At 37.2% G+C, this 14,645-nt stretch overlaps 1 protein-coding gene across 4 annotated transcripts in view, besides 1 other annotated feature; it reads left to right on the top strand.

The window, feature by feature from the left end:
* The window catches only part of PRCP (prolylcarboxypeptidase), a 78,709-nt gene that overhangs the window by 42,115 nt on the left and 21,949 nt on the right, over positions 1 to 14,645 (top strand). For all 4 annotated transcript variants that reach the window (NM_001319214.2, XM_005274093.2, NM_005040.4 and 1 more), the window contains 4 exons: positions 6,252 to 6,353; positions 9,025 to 9,206; positions 9,459 to 9,616; positions 10,312 to 10,481. In NM_001319214.2, the coding sequence (NP_001306143.1) occupies positions 6,258 to 6,353; positions 9,025 to 9,206; positions 9,459 to 9,616; positions 10,312 to 10,481 (606 nt within the window). In that variant the 5' untranslated portion in view covers positions 6,252 to 6,257. The remainder of the gene's footprint in view (positions 1 to 6,251; positions 6,354 to 9,024; positions 9,207 to 9,458; positions 9,617 to 10,311; positions 10,482 to 14,645) is intronic.
* Positions 271 to 1,470: an enhancer, noted in NCBI's record as "CDK7 strongly-dependent group 2 enhancer chr11:82569102-82570301 (GRCh37/hg19 assembly coordinates)". NCBI's record gives its function as "activates an origin of replication core promoter dependent on BRD2, BRD4, P300/CBP, MED14 and CDK7 cofactors, with strong dependence on CDK7, by STARR-seq in HCT116 cells {active_cell/tissue: HCT116}" and the evidence as "EXISTENCE:reporter gene assay evidence [ECO:0000049][PMID:35650434]".

Here is a 14,645-nt window from a genome sequence, read left to right as displayed (position 1 = left end):
TTATTTTGATTATGGTCTCTAGAAGGTAAAAACAAGGGTGGGAATTTTTGTATGTTTAGTGTTATATTGTCAGTGTCCAGGACATATAGAAGGTGATATATGTCTGTTAAATGAATGAATGAATAAAACCTAAACAAAGCCAGTGCAAATGAGAAAAAAATATACAAATAGGAATGGGAAAAGGTAAAGTTGTAGTTACATTTTAGTTTAGCTTTCCTGTTCTACCATTTTCTTTTATTTGTGAGGGTTAAAAGTAGTATATAGCCTGTTAGCTTGCTTCCCTGACTATATTTTCTATCACCTTTTATAATGCCGAAATCCATTAACAAAACTTAATTTGGAAAGATATGTGAAAGGAAGAAATGCTCCTTTTCAATGTGTCAGTGCTGTGACTAGGAAATGTCAACTTTCTACCAAAAAGCTAGTTGTGAACTACCTTAAAGTGGGGAATGAATTATGTATTATCCCTAATGCCAGTGTCTGGCACAATGCCTGGTAGTCAGGAGGTCTCAGTAAATGTTTGTTTAACTGGTATATGAATTTAAAGTAAAGATATGAACCCAATTACATTGTTATTGCATTTCTCATTTCTGATTATTTCCTTAGGAATGTTAAGAATCTAAGTAATTTAGTTGAAATAAAATACTTCCCAGAGAAATGAGATCCTAGGATGCCTATTTCTTTTAGGTCAGTGACAAGAGAAATCAGATTCTTTCTCTGATTTCTGGAAAGGAGACAAGAGAAATCTCCTTTCCATCAGATTCCCGTTCTGTTATTCTGTGAAACCACAGAGGCTGCCTTGTCTCTTTTCTCCTTTTGGTGTGACTTTCATTTTATGTGAAGGCCACAGGGTAACTTACCCTGTCCAGTGATTTTTCCAGTTTCCATTCTCTTGTATTATAGGCAGGTAGCTGTTCCTGCCTCCACTAGGCACTACTCTGACAGGCACTGTGGCAGAACTTAAGGTTTGCTGGGGTATCTCTGTTCTCGAAAGTGGTGGAAAGGAAGAGATATTCAGTGTAGGAACAGTTCTGAAGAACTGACTAGAGGCAGATCATAGAAGAGCAGATCCTGGCCCATCCGCAGCCCCAGAGACCTTCCTTTACATACCAAAATGTTCCAGTGCACATTCACTGCTGGACATTAATTTGTTGAGAGGCAGCATCACACAGTGGTCGAGAGTGAAGGCTTCAGTCAGATAGACAAGGTTTGAATGCTGATTTTGCCACTTTGCTGTGTGACTTTAGGTAAGTTTCTTGTTCTGTGCCTCAGTTTTCTCATCTGTTAAATGGATACAGTAATAATGGTTCATAGAGTTGTGTAAAGAATTAAAGAAGATTAGGGGACTTGCAAGCACATAATGTTAAAAGATGTTGATATATTACATTGACCTCTTTTGAAAAATAAGAATACTCCTGAAATACATCACTTATTACTTTGTGAACTAGTTCAATGAAATTGCCTCCTCTCAAAGCCTGAAATCAACTGCACAGAGGTCTGGACATTGTAATGGATGATCTTTACTCTTAAGATACTCACGGTCTGGTGTGTGACATACATGTAAGCAAATTTTGCGGCACAGTACCAGGGACCTATACCTAGCACAGTGGTGTTGAGAAGGGGGAGTGATCAGCACTGCCAAGGTGGGGCAGGCAGAGGTGGGCATGCTTGAGCTGGGTGTTTGCAAGATCTGTAGATAAATGGCAGGGAATGAGTAGATCCTTAAGAGAGAAAGTGGGGGTTATTGAAACCATCACAAATATCTGGTTAAATTCTCTATCCTTACATGCATATAACTCTTCTAATTGTTCATTTATCGATCAAAACAAAAACACTTGAGGTTCTTAGTCTTTGTTAGGGAGCAGGAACTCACTAAAAAGCAACAATGTGCACTAGGAATGACAAGTAGTTTTAATCTGTGCTAAATCTAAATCTAATCGATTGATGTTGACTACCTAGAATGCTTCGTTGAGAACAGATTCTGAGGCCACAACTGAGTAAGCGAAAAAATGAAGTGATTGGCTAATGACCAGATATAGATGGTTCTAGCAAGGAGATCTAACAGCTCTTGATGATGGTGCTCTGGAGCCAGACACCTGTTTGAATCTTGGCAATGCCGCTTACTAGCTGTGTGAATGTTGAAAGTTATTTAAACTCTTGTGCCTCAATGTTCTTGTCTATAAAATGGGGGTAATCAAAGTGCCTATTTCATAGATTGCTGTGATAATTAAGTGAATTAATTCATATGAAATGCTTAGAACAGTGCCTGACACATTATAAACACTCAGTTATTATTAGCCATTGTGTGCTACTATTTATTTTCCAATAAAGAAGATTAATTGAAACCCCCTAGGGAGTTTAGTATGCTTGTTTGTTTTGCTTTCTCTTTTATGTTGTCAATGCCTATGAGTAGACAGCTTCTTTAGATATCTTTAGCTCTTTCCTAGAAGATTTGGCAAACAGTGCAATTTGTAGACTTTTTTTTTTTTTTTTTTGAGACAGAGGCTCGCTCTGTCGCCCAGGCTGGAGTGCAGTGGCGCTATCTCGGCTACTGCAAGCTTCGCCTCCCAGGTTCACGCCATTTTCCTGCCTCAGCCTCCCGAGTAGCTGGGACTACAGGCGCCTGCCACCACGCCCGGCTAATTTTTTGTATTTTTAGTAGAGACAGGGTTTCACCGTGATCTCGATCTCCTGACCTCGTGATCCGCCCGCCTCGGCCTCCCAAAGTGTTGGGATTACAGGCGTGAGCGACTGCGCCTGGCCCATTTTTTTTTAAAGTTGAAATTACCTTTTATTTTTATTTAATTTGTTTTCTCTCCATCGTGTTTTTTTTTCTTGACTTTTATTTTAGGTTCAGGGGGTACATGTGCAGGTTTGTTAACTTGGGTAAATTGTGTGTTGCTCAGATTTGGTGTATGAATGATCCCATCACCTAGGTAGTAAGCATAGTACCTGATACGTAGTTGTTGAACTCATGCCCCACACCCACACTCCCTGCACTATTAGCCCCTCTAGTAGTCATGCAGTGTCTATTGTTCCCCTCTTTGTGTCCATGTGTATTCAGTGTTTAGCTCCTGCTTATAAGTGAGAACATGCAGTGTTTGGTTTCCTGTTGCTCTATTAGGTCACTTAGGATAATGGCCTCCAGCTACATCCATGTTACTGCAAAGGATATTATTTTGTTCTTTTTAATGGCTACGTAGTATTCTATGGTGTATATAGACCACATTGTCTTTATCCAGTCCACTCTTGAAGGGTATCTAGGTTGATTCTGTGTCTTTGATATTGCAAACAGTGCTAAGATGAACATACAAGTGCATGTGTCTTTTTGGTAGAATGGTTTATTTTTATTTTAAATTTTTATTTAGTTTTTAATTTTATTTTTTGTAGAGAAAAGGGTTTCACTATGTTGCCCAGGCTGGTCTCAAACTCCTGGACTCAAGTAATCAACCTGTCTTGGCCGCCCAAAGTGCTGGGATTACAGGCATGAGCCGCCACACCTGGCCTATTTTTCTTTAGGTATATACCCAGTAGTGAGGATTGGTGGGTTGAATGGTAGTTCTATTTCAAGTTCTTTGGGAAATCTCCAAACTGCTTTCCGTAGTGGCTGAACTAATTTATATCGTACTAACAGTTTATAAGCATTCCCCTTTCTCCACAACCTCACCAACATCTGTTATTTTTTTACTGTTTTTTAATAATAGCCATCCTAACTGGTATGAGATGGTATCTCATTGTGGTTTTCATTTGCATTTCTCTGATGATAATGATGTTGAGCCTTTGTTCATGTTTGTTGGCCTTGTGTATGTCTTCTTTTGAAAAGTATCTGTTCATGTCTTTTGCCCACTTTTTAATGGGGTTGTTTTTTCTTGTAAATTTATTTACTTATTTATTTTATTGTTATTATTTTTTGAACAGAGTCTCGCTCTGTTGCCCAGGCTCGAGTGCAGTGGCGTGATCTGGGCTCGCTGCAAGCTCCGCCTCCCGGGTTCACGCCATTCTACTGCCTCAGTCTCCCGAGTAGCTGGGACTACAGGTGCCCGCCACCACGCCCGGCTAAGTTTTTTGCATTTTTAGTAGAGACGGGGTTTCACCGTGTTAGCCAGGATGGTCTCGATCTCCTGACCTTGTGATCCGCCCACCTCAGCCTCCCAAAGTGCTGGGATTACAGGCGTGAGCCACCATGCCCGGCCCTTTTCTTGTAAATTTAAGTTCCTTATAGATTCTAGATATTAGACCTTTGTCAGATGCATAGTTTGCAAATATTTTCTCTCATTCTGTAGGTGGTCTGTTTACTCTGTTGATAGTTTCTTTTGCTGTGCAGAAGCTCTTTAGTTTAATTAGGTCCCACTTGTCAGCTTTTGTTTTTGTTGCAATTGCTTTTTGGGACTTAGTCATAAATTCTTTGCCAAGGCTGATGTCCAGAATGGTATTTCCTCAGTTTTCTTCTGGGGTTTTTGGGCTTTTTATAGTTTTCAGTTTTACATTTAAGTCTTTTATCCATTTTGAGTTGATTTTTGTATATGGTGAAAGGAAGGGGTCCAGTTTCAATCTTCTGCATATGGCTAGCCAGTTATCCCAGCACCATTTATTGAATACGGAGTCCTTTTCCCATTGCTTGTTATTGTTGACTTTATTTAAGATCAGGTTGTTGCAAGCATGTGGCTTGATTTTTGGATTCTCTATCCTGTTACATTGGTCTGCATGCCTATTTTTGTACCAGTACCTGATGTTTTGGTTATTGTAGCCTTGCAGTATAGTTTGAAGTCAGGTAGTGTGATGCCTCTGGCTTTGTTTTTCTTGCTTAGGATTGCTTTGGTGATTCAAGTTTTTTGTTTGTTTGTTTGTTGTTGTTTTATATGGATTTCAAAATAGTTTTTTTTTCCTAACTCTGTGAAAAATGATGTTGGTAATTTGATAGCAATAGTATTGAATCTGTAAATTGCTTTGGGGAGTATGGCCATTTTAACAATATTGATTCTTCCTATGTATGAACATGGAATGTCTTTCCATTTCTTTGTGTTGTTTCTGATGCCTTTCAGCAGTGGTTTGTAATTCTCATTGTAGAGATGATTCACTTCCTTGGTTAGCTGTATTCCTGGATATTTCATTCTTTTTGTGGCTATTGTAAATGGGATTGTGTTTTTGATTTGGCTGTTAGCTTGATTGTTATTGGTATATAGACATGCTACTGATTTTTATACATTAAATTTGATAATGAAACTTTACTGAAGTTGTTTTGTCACTTCTAGAAGTCTTTTGGTGGAGTCTGTGGGGTTTCTAGGTATAGCATCATATCATTTGTGAAAAGAGACAGTTTGACATCCTCTCTTCCTGTTTGGATGCCTTTTATTTCTTTCTCTTGCCTGATTGCACTGGCTATAACTTCCAGTGCCGTGTTGGATAAGAGTGCTGAGACAGAGCATGCTTGCCTTGTCTTAGTTCTCAAGGGGAATGCTTACAGCTTTTGCCCATTCAGTACGATGTTGGCTATGGGTTTGTCATAGATGGCTTTTATTATGTTGCGGTATGTTCCTTCAATACCTACTTTTTTGAGAATTTTTACCATGAAGGGATGTTGAATTTTGTCGAATACATTTTCTGCATCTATTGAGATGATCATGTGGTTTTATTTTTTAGTTCTGTTTATGTGGTGAATTCTGTTTATTGATTTGTGTATGTTGAACCATCCTTGCATCCAGGAATAAAGCCTATATGATTCTGGTAAATTAACTTCTTGATGCTGCTGGATTTTGGTTTGCTAGCTTTGTTAAGGGTTTTTGCATCTATTTTCGTCAGGGATATTGGCCCGAAGTTTTCTTGTTTCATTGTGTCCCTGCCAGGTGTTGTATCATAATGATGCTAGCTTCATAGAATGAGTTAGGGAAGAGGCCCTCGTCCTTATTTAAAAATAATTTCAGTAGGATTTGTACTGGCTCTTTGTACATGAAGACCATTTTAGACATAATGTTGATGCTAGGGCTAGAGTGTCAGGATAAAAAGACGTGGATGACTAGTGGATGAGCAACCTGGGATTATTTTTAATTGTTTCACTCATAAAGTGTGAGATTGATATGCAACAATAAGACATCAATTATGTCATTTATTTGTGGAACAAACACAAATTGTGCAACTTTGTAGAGTGCTCTTTTTGTTCTGGCTTAACATCTATTCCATATGGTTTGCCAAAAGGTTCAGTGACTTTTTTTCACATTCTGATTTTATCCTGTGATTTTGTAAACTCTTCTTAGGGGTTCATGTGGGATGTGGCTGAGGAACTGAAAGCTATGTTGGTGTTTGCTGAACATCGATACTATGGAGAGTCTCTCCCCTTTGGTGACAACTCATTCAAGGTAAAGATACTTTTTACTTAAAAGTTACAAGCTTTTTCTTTTCAATTTAGAATAGTTTCTAAATTATATGCCCCACTGTGAGATAACTTAAATTTGAAATGCCTAAAAGCTCAATAGTTTATATTTAATAGTTTCTTTTTAGATACAATTTGAACAGACTGAGGGTTTTTTTTAAGCCATTTTATTATAATTCTTAATGTTAATCAGTTTTTAACTCTGTGTGCCTCAGAAAGTTAAATTTTACTCTGTGGCTGCAGAGACAGCACAGGGAGCTTTTTATTATTTCAAAAATATCAGTAAACAATTCCGCTTTATAAATCGTACACTTAAATTATTGAGCCTGCCACTGGAAAAAATATAATGAGCATAACAAATTTATCTGATAAGATGTTTTTAATAAAATAAAATCAATAAAATAAGGACAAATAAGCTGTATGATGCATTAAGGCCAACTGGCCCCTTGGATTCCCTTTCAGCCTTTCCTGTTCTCACAGGAGCTTTGGCCTTTGTCACAGACTCTACCTAATAAACCAGGACACTTTTTCTTCAACTGAGTCATTCATGTACTACTACACTTGTGACTTTGGCTATATTAATTTGCCACGTGTACTATTATTTACCTAATATTTTTCTTTAATCAGCTCACTTTTTAAACTTAGCATTATCTTAACCAAGGGCTCTGTGTACTGGTTATTCTTTACAAATTACACTAAAATGAAGCAATAAATGTTCCATTAAAAATGTTTGTGTGCTTCCTAATACCATCAGTGTATACATATGCTTTTGGGAACTCTCAGCTAGAAGGACTTGGGGCCAGTCCTTTACTAGGCTGCCTATTTTGAAAGGAGTTTTTATTTTTAAAAAGGATATTTTACTATCTCATATTATAAATAAATACAATAGTAAAAATAAGTAAAAATGTTGTGTTATAAATATAAAGTGGGATGATTTGCTGATATTTGTTGAGCTGTATGGGAAATTCTATTCTTTAGCTTGGTATTTTGCGTAAATATCTGATTAAGGGACTTGACAAGTCCTGAAACCACTGGGAAGCAGTTAGCTTGTTGTAGATAGAACATAACTTCCTCTCCTAGGTTTCTATAAATGATACTGTGTTAGCAAAATGGAGCCAGGGGCTCTTTTTGATATACTTCTTTCCCTTTGTGTGCTCACAGAATATGTCAGTAGCATGAAGGATATTATAGATATTATGCAAGGATTAGAAAAAAAATGCACTCAACTGTACAGAGTGCCATAAAAACTGGAAGTAAAGGATAGTGACAGACAGGGAGAGAGGAGGTAAGAAGGCATACATCTTGGAAGAGGGGGGAAAGCTAAAGGAGTAGGTGGCATATATAGGAGATAGGAAAGATGGGATCTATGTGATTCAGTAATATGCCAGATGATGGAAGAAATCAGGATGGTGAGACCAAAGCATGAAAGTCAAACAGGGTAGCCTAATAGAGGTATGTAGCTGTATTCGTTGTCTAGTAAAGATGTACTTCAAACCTTATGGCTTAAAACAGCAATAAACATCTATTACTTTATAGTTTCCATGGGTGAAGAATTAGGAGTGGTTTAGCTAGGTGGTTCTGTTTCAGGGGGTCTCATGAGGTTAGGATGTCAGCTGGTGCTGCAGGCATCTGAAGTCTTGACTGGGGCTGGAGAGCCTCTCATATGGAGGATTACTCACATACGAGATAAAACTGGTGCTGGATGTTGACAAGAGGCTGCAGTTAAGGGTCTACTTGAGTTCATTACAAGGCAGCTAATTTCCCTCAAAGTTGGCAGTGCGGGAGAGCAAGGTGGAAGCTGCAGTGTTTTTTTAATGACCTAACCTTGGTAGTCACATATCATTATTTCTGCCCCATTCTATTCATTAGAACCAAGTCATTAAATCCCATCCAAGTTCAAAGGGAGTGGAATTAAGCTTCACCTTTTAAAGGAATGAGTGTCAAGAATTTGCAGACATATTTTAAAAGACCTTCTTAGCCTTCTCAGCTCAGCAGGACACTGGGCTTCACCTTCTGCAGTAGGGAAATTGTCTTCATGTAGAGAGCAGGATGTTTATGAAACTTAACATTATGAGTTTTCCTTTTCTCAAAGATCAATGTCTCATGTTGCCTGTTTTCCAATACCTGAAAATAGTTTTTTTTTCTTTCCAATTTTATAATTGTTTAAAATAGGCAGGCTACTTTGTTTCAGTTGTTGATATGGCCGAGGTCATATATAATCTTTCCGATGAAGAAGGGTGAGTTTTATTTTTACTGGTGATTCTTACCTCAATTGTCCACTAGATTTAGTTTATATTTGCCTGTGTGGCAGACATTTTAAATGTGCCAAGATTTAAAACAAAAGTTATAACAGTTATCTATTAAGCTTAGTTTATATTCGATCACATTTGCTATTAAATTTTACCTACAATTTGTTTCTGTTGTTTCTACAATCTACTTGCATACAAAATACATTATGTTCTTCCACAAACTTAAAATCATTTTCATGAGTTTGAATCCACACAGTTATTGCTTTGACTAGGCATTTTAGCTCAATTGCCTAGAAATTCTATTTAGAGAAAAGCTTATCTGACACTGGCTCTCTTCTGGATCCATGCTATTCCTAAGCTGCTGTTATGTGCACATTTATACCCGTGTTCTTTGTTATATTTCTTTAGGATTCCAGACACTTGAATTTCCTGACATCAGAACAAGCTCTGGCTGATTTTGCAGAGTTAATCAAACACTTGAAAAGAACAATCCCAGGAGCTGAAAATCAACCTGTCATTGCCATAGGAGGCTCCTATGGTGGCATGCTTGCCGCCTGGTTTAGGATGAAATATCCTCATATGGTAGTTGGGTAAGTGCATTTGTACTGGACATGAACGTTTCTTAATGATTATCAAGGGAAACTTAGAGATTCATTTTGGGTAAAACATGTTCCATGCCATTACCCTGAGGTTTCTGGCTTCTGTCTCATTAACAGCTGTGTTATTTTTCTCAATATTTTTATTATGTTTCAACTTTAAAACTTGATTTAGATGACATATATATAATATATATATATATTTTTTCTTTTCTTTTTTCTTTCTTTGATTTTCTTGCCATTTAGAGCTCTTGCAGCTTCTGCCCCTATCTGGCAGTTTGAGGATTTAGTACCTTGTGGTGTATTTATGAAGATCGTAACTACAGATTTTAGGAAAAGCGGTCCACATTGTTCAGAGAGCATCCACAGGTCCTGGGATGCCATTAATCGACTCTCAAATACTGGTAAGCTTTAATTAAGAGAATGGAATTGTGTGTTTTTTTAACCTTTCATTTGTTAAATTCAGTAGTTGTCGCTTTTTAAGTAAACATTTTGTTAAAGTATAATGTACATACAGAAAATTATACAAATCAAAATCAAATCAAAATGCGTAGCTTGATGAATTTTCACAAAGCAAGGACACAGTATAATTAGCATTTAAATCAGTAAAGGGCGTTGTCAGCATCTCAGAAATCTCCTCGTGCCTTTTCAGTCACTACCTCTATACCTACCCAGCAAAAACATCCTCACTTCTAGAACCATAGATTAATTTTTACTTGTTCTTAAATGTTTTAGTAATTGGAATTACATAGCATGTCTTTTTTGTGTCTACTGTCTTTTGCTTAGCACTGTTTGATAGATACATCCATTTGTTTTACTAAGTTGTAGTTTATGTATTCTTGTTGTTCTATAGTGTTCCTATTTATTCATTTTAATAGTATATTAAAAAGGGAGAATAATTCTGAATACTAATTATGGTAAACTCTATGAGGATAGGCAACTTGTCTGTCATGGGATTCTCCAGTTGCTCTGAAAATATCCTGGGAGAAGGGGTATAAAAGATTGAGTTTTCTAAAATACTATGTGAAGAATAAATGATCTGTAAAGACATCTGTTGACCAGTACTTTTTAGATTCCAACAGTGTGATTCTATTCCCAGGCAGTGGTTTGCAGTGGCTTACTGGAGCCCTTCACTTATGCAGCCCATTAACTTCTCAGGACATCCAACATTTGAAAGACTGGATCTCTGAAACCTGGGTGAATCTGGCAATGGTGGACTATCCTTATGCCTCTAACTTTTTACAGCCTTTGCCTGCTTGGCCTATCAAGGTAATAGGAAAATGTCCTGTCATCATTTTTTAATAACACACTTTTTTTTTAATGTGCATACTCTGACTTTCTGCCTCAGAGAAAGTCCCAGTGACAAAGGGGCTCCAGAGTTTGTCAAACTTGAGCTGGAATCCTGGGTTCTGCTACTTTCTGATTATGTGGGCTTGGACATGTTACCTAGCTTTTCTGAGCCTCAGTTTCCTCATTTGAAAAATGGAGATAGAATTCATTGATTATAGAGTTGTACGAATTAGAAATAATACCTAAAGTTGCTGTTAATGGAATAATTACTATGTGCCAAATCCTGGGCTGTGTACTTTGCATGTATAATGTATTTAATCTTTGTGATATATGTGTAACTTCCATCTATGTAATACATGGTTGATGCTTAATAAATGGCAGTCATTATCATAGCACCATGATCTAGTCAGCTGCGAAAGCATTGTAGGTGCTACCCTCAGTGTGAAGAGTGACCCCATGCAGCACAGTAGAGTGGAAAGAACATCAAATTAGATTCTGAAAGTGAGGTTTTGGTCCAGAACTGCTGCTTCACTTACCAACTGTGTGATCTTAGGCAAGGTGCTTTTCTTTCCCCATCCCGTCTTCCTCTGTAGAAGGGAATAACAGTACTTACATACCAAATAGGGTTGTGCTGAGGATCTAATAAAATGTTGGATGTGAAACACTTTGGAAAGTATAAGGACACATTACAGTATAAATTTTAAGGTTCTTTTCATGTCAAAATTATTTATTGTGTATGTTCATTTTAAGCATTTCTTTGTAAAGAGCTTTCCTTTTAGTTTTAAAAACAAAGGCTGGCCAACTTGATGGTTAAATTTAGAGAATATAACCAACTCTTCAGCTAGAATGAGTGTTGGAAGTGAAAATAGAATTGGCGATATAGAGCCGGGTTTCAAATGCACTTTTAATTTAACCACCCCTTTGAATTATTACATGTATACCTTGCTTAAAAATTTGTAACTTAAACAAGTTCATTTGCTATTATTTTTCTTCATTTAAAAAGTAGAATGACCAGTGAGTGTATTGCATATAGCAGGCCAGAGGTAAGTATATATTGAATTAGAATGAATTTCAACAATACAAAGTTGTTGAAAAGAGCAGATCATGTTTTATGTTAGAAAACCTAAATCAATAGGCCTGGCATGGTCGCTCATCCCTGTAATCCCTGCACTTTGGGAGGCCGAGGTGGGAGGATTGCTTGAGGCTAGAAGTTTGAGACCCACCTGGGCAACATAGTGAGACCTCATCTCTACTAAAAATCAAAAAAATTAGCAGGGCATAGGGGTGCCTGCCTGTAGTTCCAGCTGCTTGGGAGGCTAAGGCGGGATGATTGCTTGGGGCTGCAGTAAGCTGTGATCATGCCACTGTACTCCAGCCTGGGCAACAGAGCTAGATCCTGCGTCAAAAAAAGAAAAGTAAAGAAAAGAAAACCTGGATCAAAATGATAGGGAAAAACTAAATCTAAACTAGTTCATCTCCATAAACATCTATGTGCTAATAATGCTTTATCTGTCCATATTACTTTACTATTTACAAAGCGCTTTCATGTATGCTGTCTCACTAAATTCTTTTAAAAGTACTGTGTAGAAAAAGAGGTATAATCCAAGATTTATGGAGAAGAAATTAAAGCTCAACTAAGAGGTGGTAGAAGTAGGATTTGAACTTGGGTCTTCACTGTTCAGAGCCTCTGATCATCTACTGCATTGCACTGGGTTAGGAGGAAACTTGACTGAGGATTGAGGGGACCATTGCTCACAGGGTGACATCTATCAGATTTAACTCTATATCTATCTGTGTACAAGGTGAGAATTACATTTGTATCTTTATTCTCACTTGAAGAATGAATGAGTTGTCAGATGATAAAAACATATGGGGAATTCTCTCATTATTTAGAACAGAGGTTGAGAAACTTTCTGCATTCAAAGGGCTATATTTTTAGGCTTTGCGAGCCATATAGTTTCTGTCACAATTACTCAACTCTGCAGTTGTAGCATGAAAGTAGCCATAGGTAATACATAAACAATTGAGGATGGCTGTCTCCAATAATAACTTATTTGTAAAAATAGGCAGTGGGCTGGATTTGGCCTGGGGTTTGTACTTTGCTAACCACTTATCTAGAAAAAGGCTGGAGAAATATAGCTGTTGAATGTTAGTTGGTGTACCACAATTTGGAATAGTGAGCAGTCTAACTGGTTTTCTCCCTACCTCTTTAATGTTCATTTTGGGATATTTTGCTGTTCAGTCTTACATGTGAATAAATATTTTATCCTTTGTTCTTCTAAATAATTACTCAAAACCAGCAGAGTATACCTCAAATATTTTGTCATCTAGTTTTGATTTACTGCAATCCTTTTATGCTTTATATATATGCATTATAAAAGTTTATTTTTAAGGTAAGATATCTTTAGGTCTTTCCCTCACAGTCACCCTTTACTTCTTTTATCCAGGATTAATTCTTGTCATTCTCTTCAGTTATTTCTTACTGACATTATCCTTTCTTTTGACAGATCAAGGAATTCTTGATTGCTGGTATTTATGATTCTGTTTCCAGCCTGCACCCCACCAGAAGTAATCTTATCTCTTGCCCCCTGCTTGAGAAATTCCATTGCCTCTGTTTCCAATTTCATCCTATAGTTAGTTACCCATCTGATTTTCAGAATTTTTCCACTACGTCTCCCTCCCAAACTTGTAGCTTCAGATCACTTTCTTTCACTGTTCATTCTATTTCTCCTTTTTTTGACCCCCCTCTGTGTTCTCCCAACCCACTAATCCCTGGAACACTACCCAGTTGGGGACTGCTCTTTCACTTGGATAGTTCCATTTAACCAGAACTCCTCCTCCCTCTGATACACTTCCTCCTTTTTAAAGGGCTGACAAACAGGCGTCCTTTTCTGAGTCTGTAACTCAGGCTTAGGATGGTGAGATAATATGTAACAGTTAGGTTATGAAAAAAAGCAGGTGATTTCCAATTCTGTCTGGGACCTTGTACAGTTCTGAAGGATCCATGGGCAGCGACTAAATGCCATTTTCCGTGTCAATTCAAGTATCGTTCCTTTTAATTTGTCTTTGGGCTTTGCACACTCAGACTCCATTTGCTTTTGTTTACTGTTAACAGAAGCTGCAACATTCATGCAGAAATAATCATGGACTTGGCTGGTAGAACACAAGGAAGAAGAGAAAAGGGAAACAGAAAACCCCTCTGTCATTTGACTGTTCTGTCAGCATGAAAACTACTAGGTTTCTTCCCAGCTTAAAGAGCAACTTTAAAGGATGCTGTAATTTGTTAATTTTGGAATCACATTTCAGCTGATAACTTCTCAAATATTTCAGCATAGGCTGCTGTGCATGTAGATAGATATAGTGAAATAATGACATAAGATGGAAAAATCTCTTCCGTTTGTCTTGGTGTTTGGTAATGTATGCGACCTCTCTGGGTGGTTTAAGCGGTTTAGGTGCATTCTATGAAAAGGGAGCTTTTAATGACAAAACTAATGTGATTATCTGAGTGAGTGTGAGAGGGGTATTGAAGCCTTAGAGAAAGAAAATCTGTTAGAAAAGCTGAATGTATCTGCTTAATCCTTTCTCTAATGTGGATGGACCATGCTCTGAGAGGAGATTGGTCTTTTTTTTTTCCCCCAACATATCTTCTTTCCTTCCTCTGTTAAAAAATTTTCTTTGACCCCCTTTTCCTTCTCTTATTTAAATGTGTACTCTCATAGGTAGGAACACTTAAAACTTTTAAACAAATCATTATCTTTACTTTGTCTGGTGCATGTGGGATTAAAGGGCAGAACTGAAATACTTGGTTGCAGATCTGATTAGTTTGGTAGTAAGGTTGCATGAATGTTCTATTTTCTCAACTATTTCTATACACTTTAAAACTGGAATGAGTAAAATGGACTTTCTAATGCTCTTTCTGTTTCCTGAATGTTCATCTTTATTCTAGGAAATGCCGTATCACTCTACTATTTTACAGTTGTTTTTTTTTTTTTTACTATTACATACTTTTAATGTTTTATGATTTCATATTGCCACAAAATTCATTCTAAGTTTTTGCCAAAACAAATAAACCTAGAAAAATATAAAGATGATCTAAGAATTAGGAAAATTGTTTTAAAAAATTAAGCATGAGACAGCAGGTGT

This window comes from Homo sapiens, chromosome 11 (genome assembly GCF_000001405.40).
Source record: "Homo sapiens chromosome 11, GRCh38.p14 Primary Assembly".
Lineage (NCBI taxonomy): Eukaryota > Metazoa > Chordata > Mammalia > Primates > Hominidae > Homo > Homo sapiens.
The sequence above is the reverse complement of the archived record's forward strand: the minus strand, read 5'-3'. Positions and strand labels throughout refer to the sequence as shown.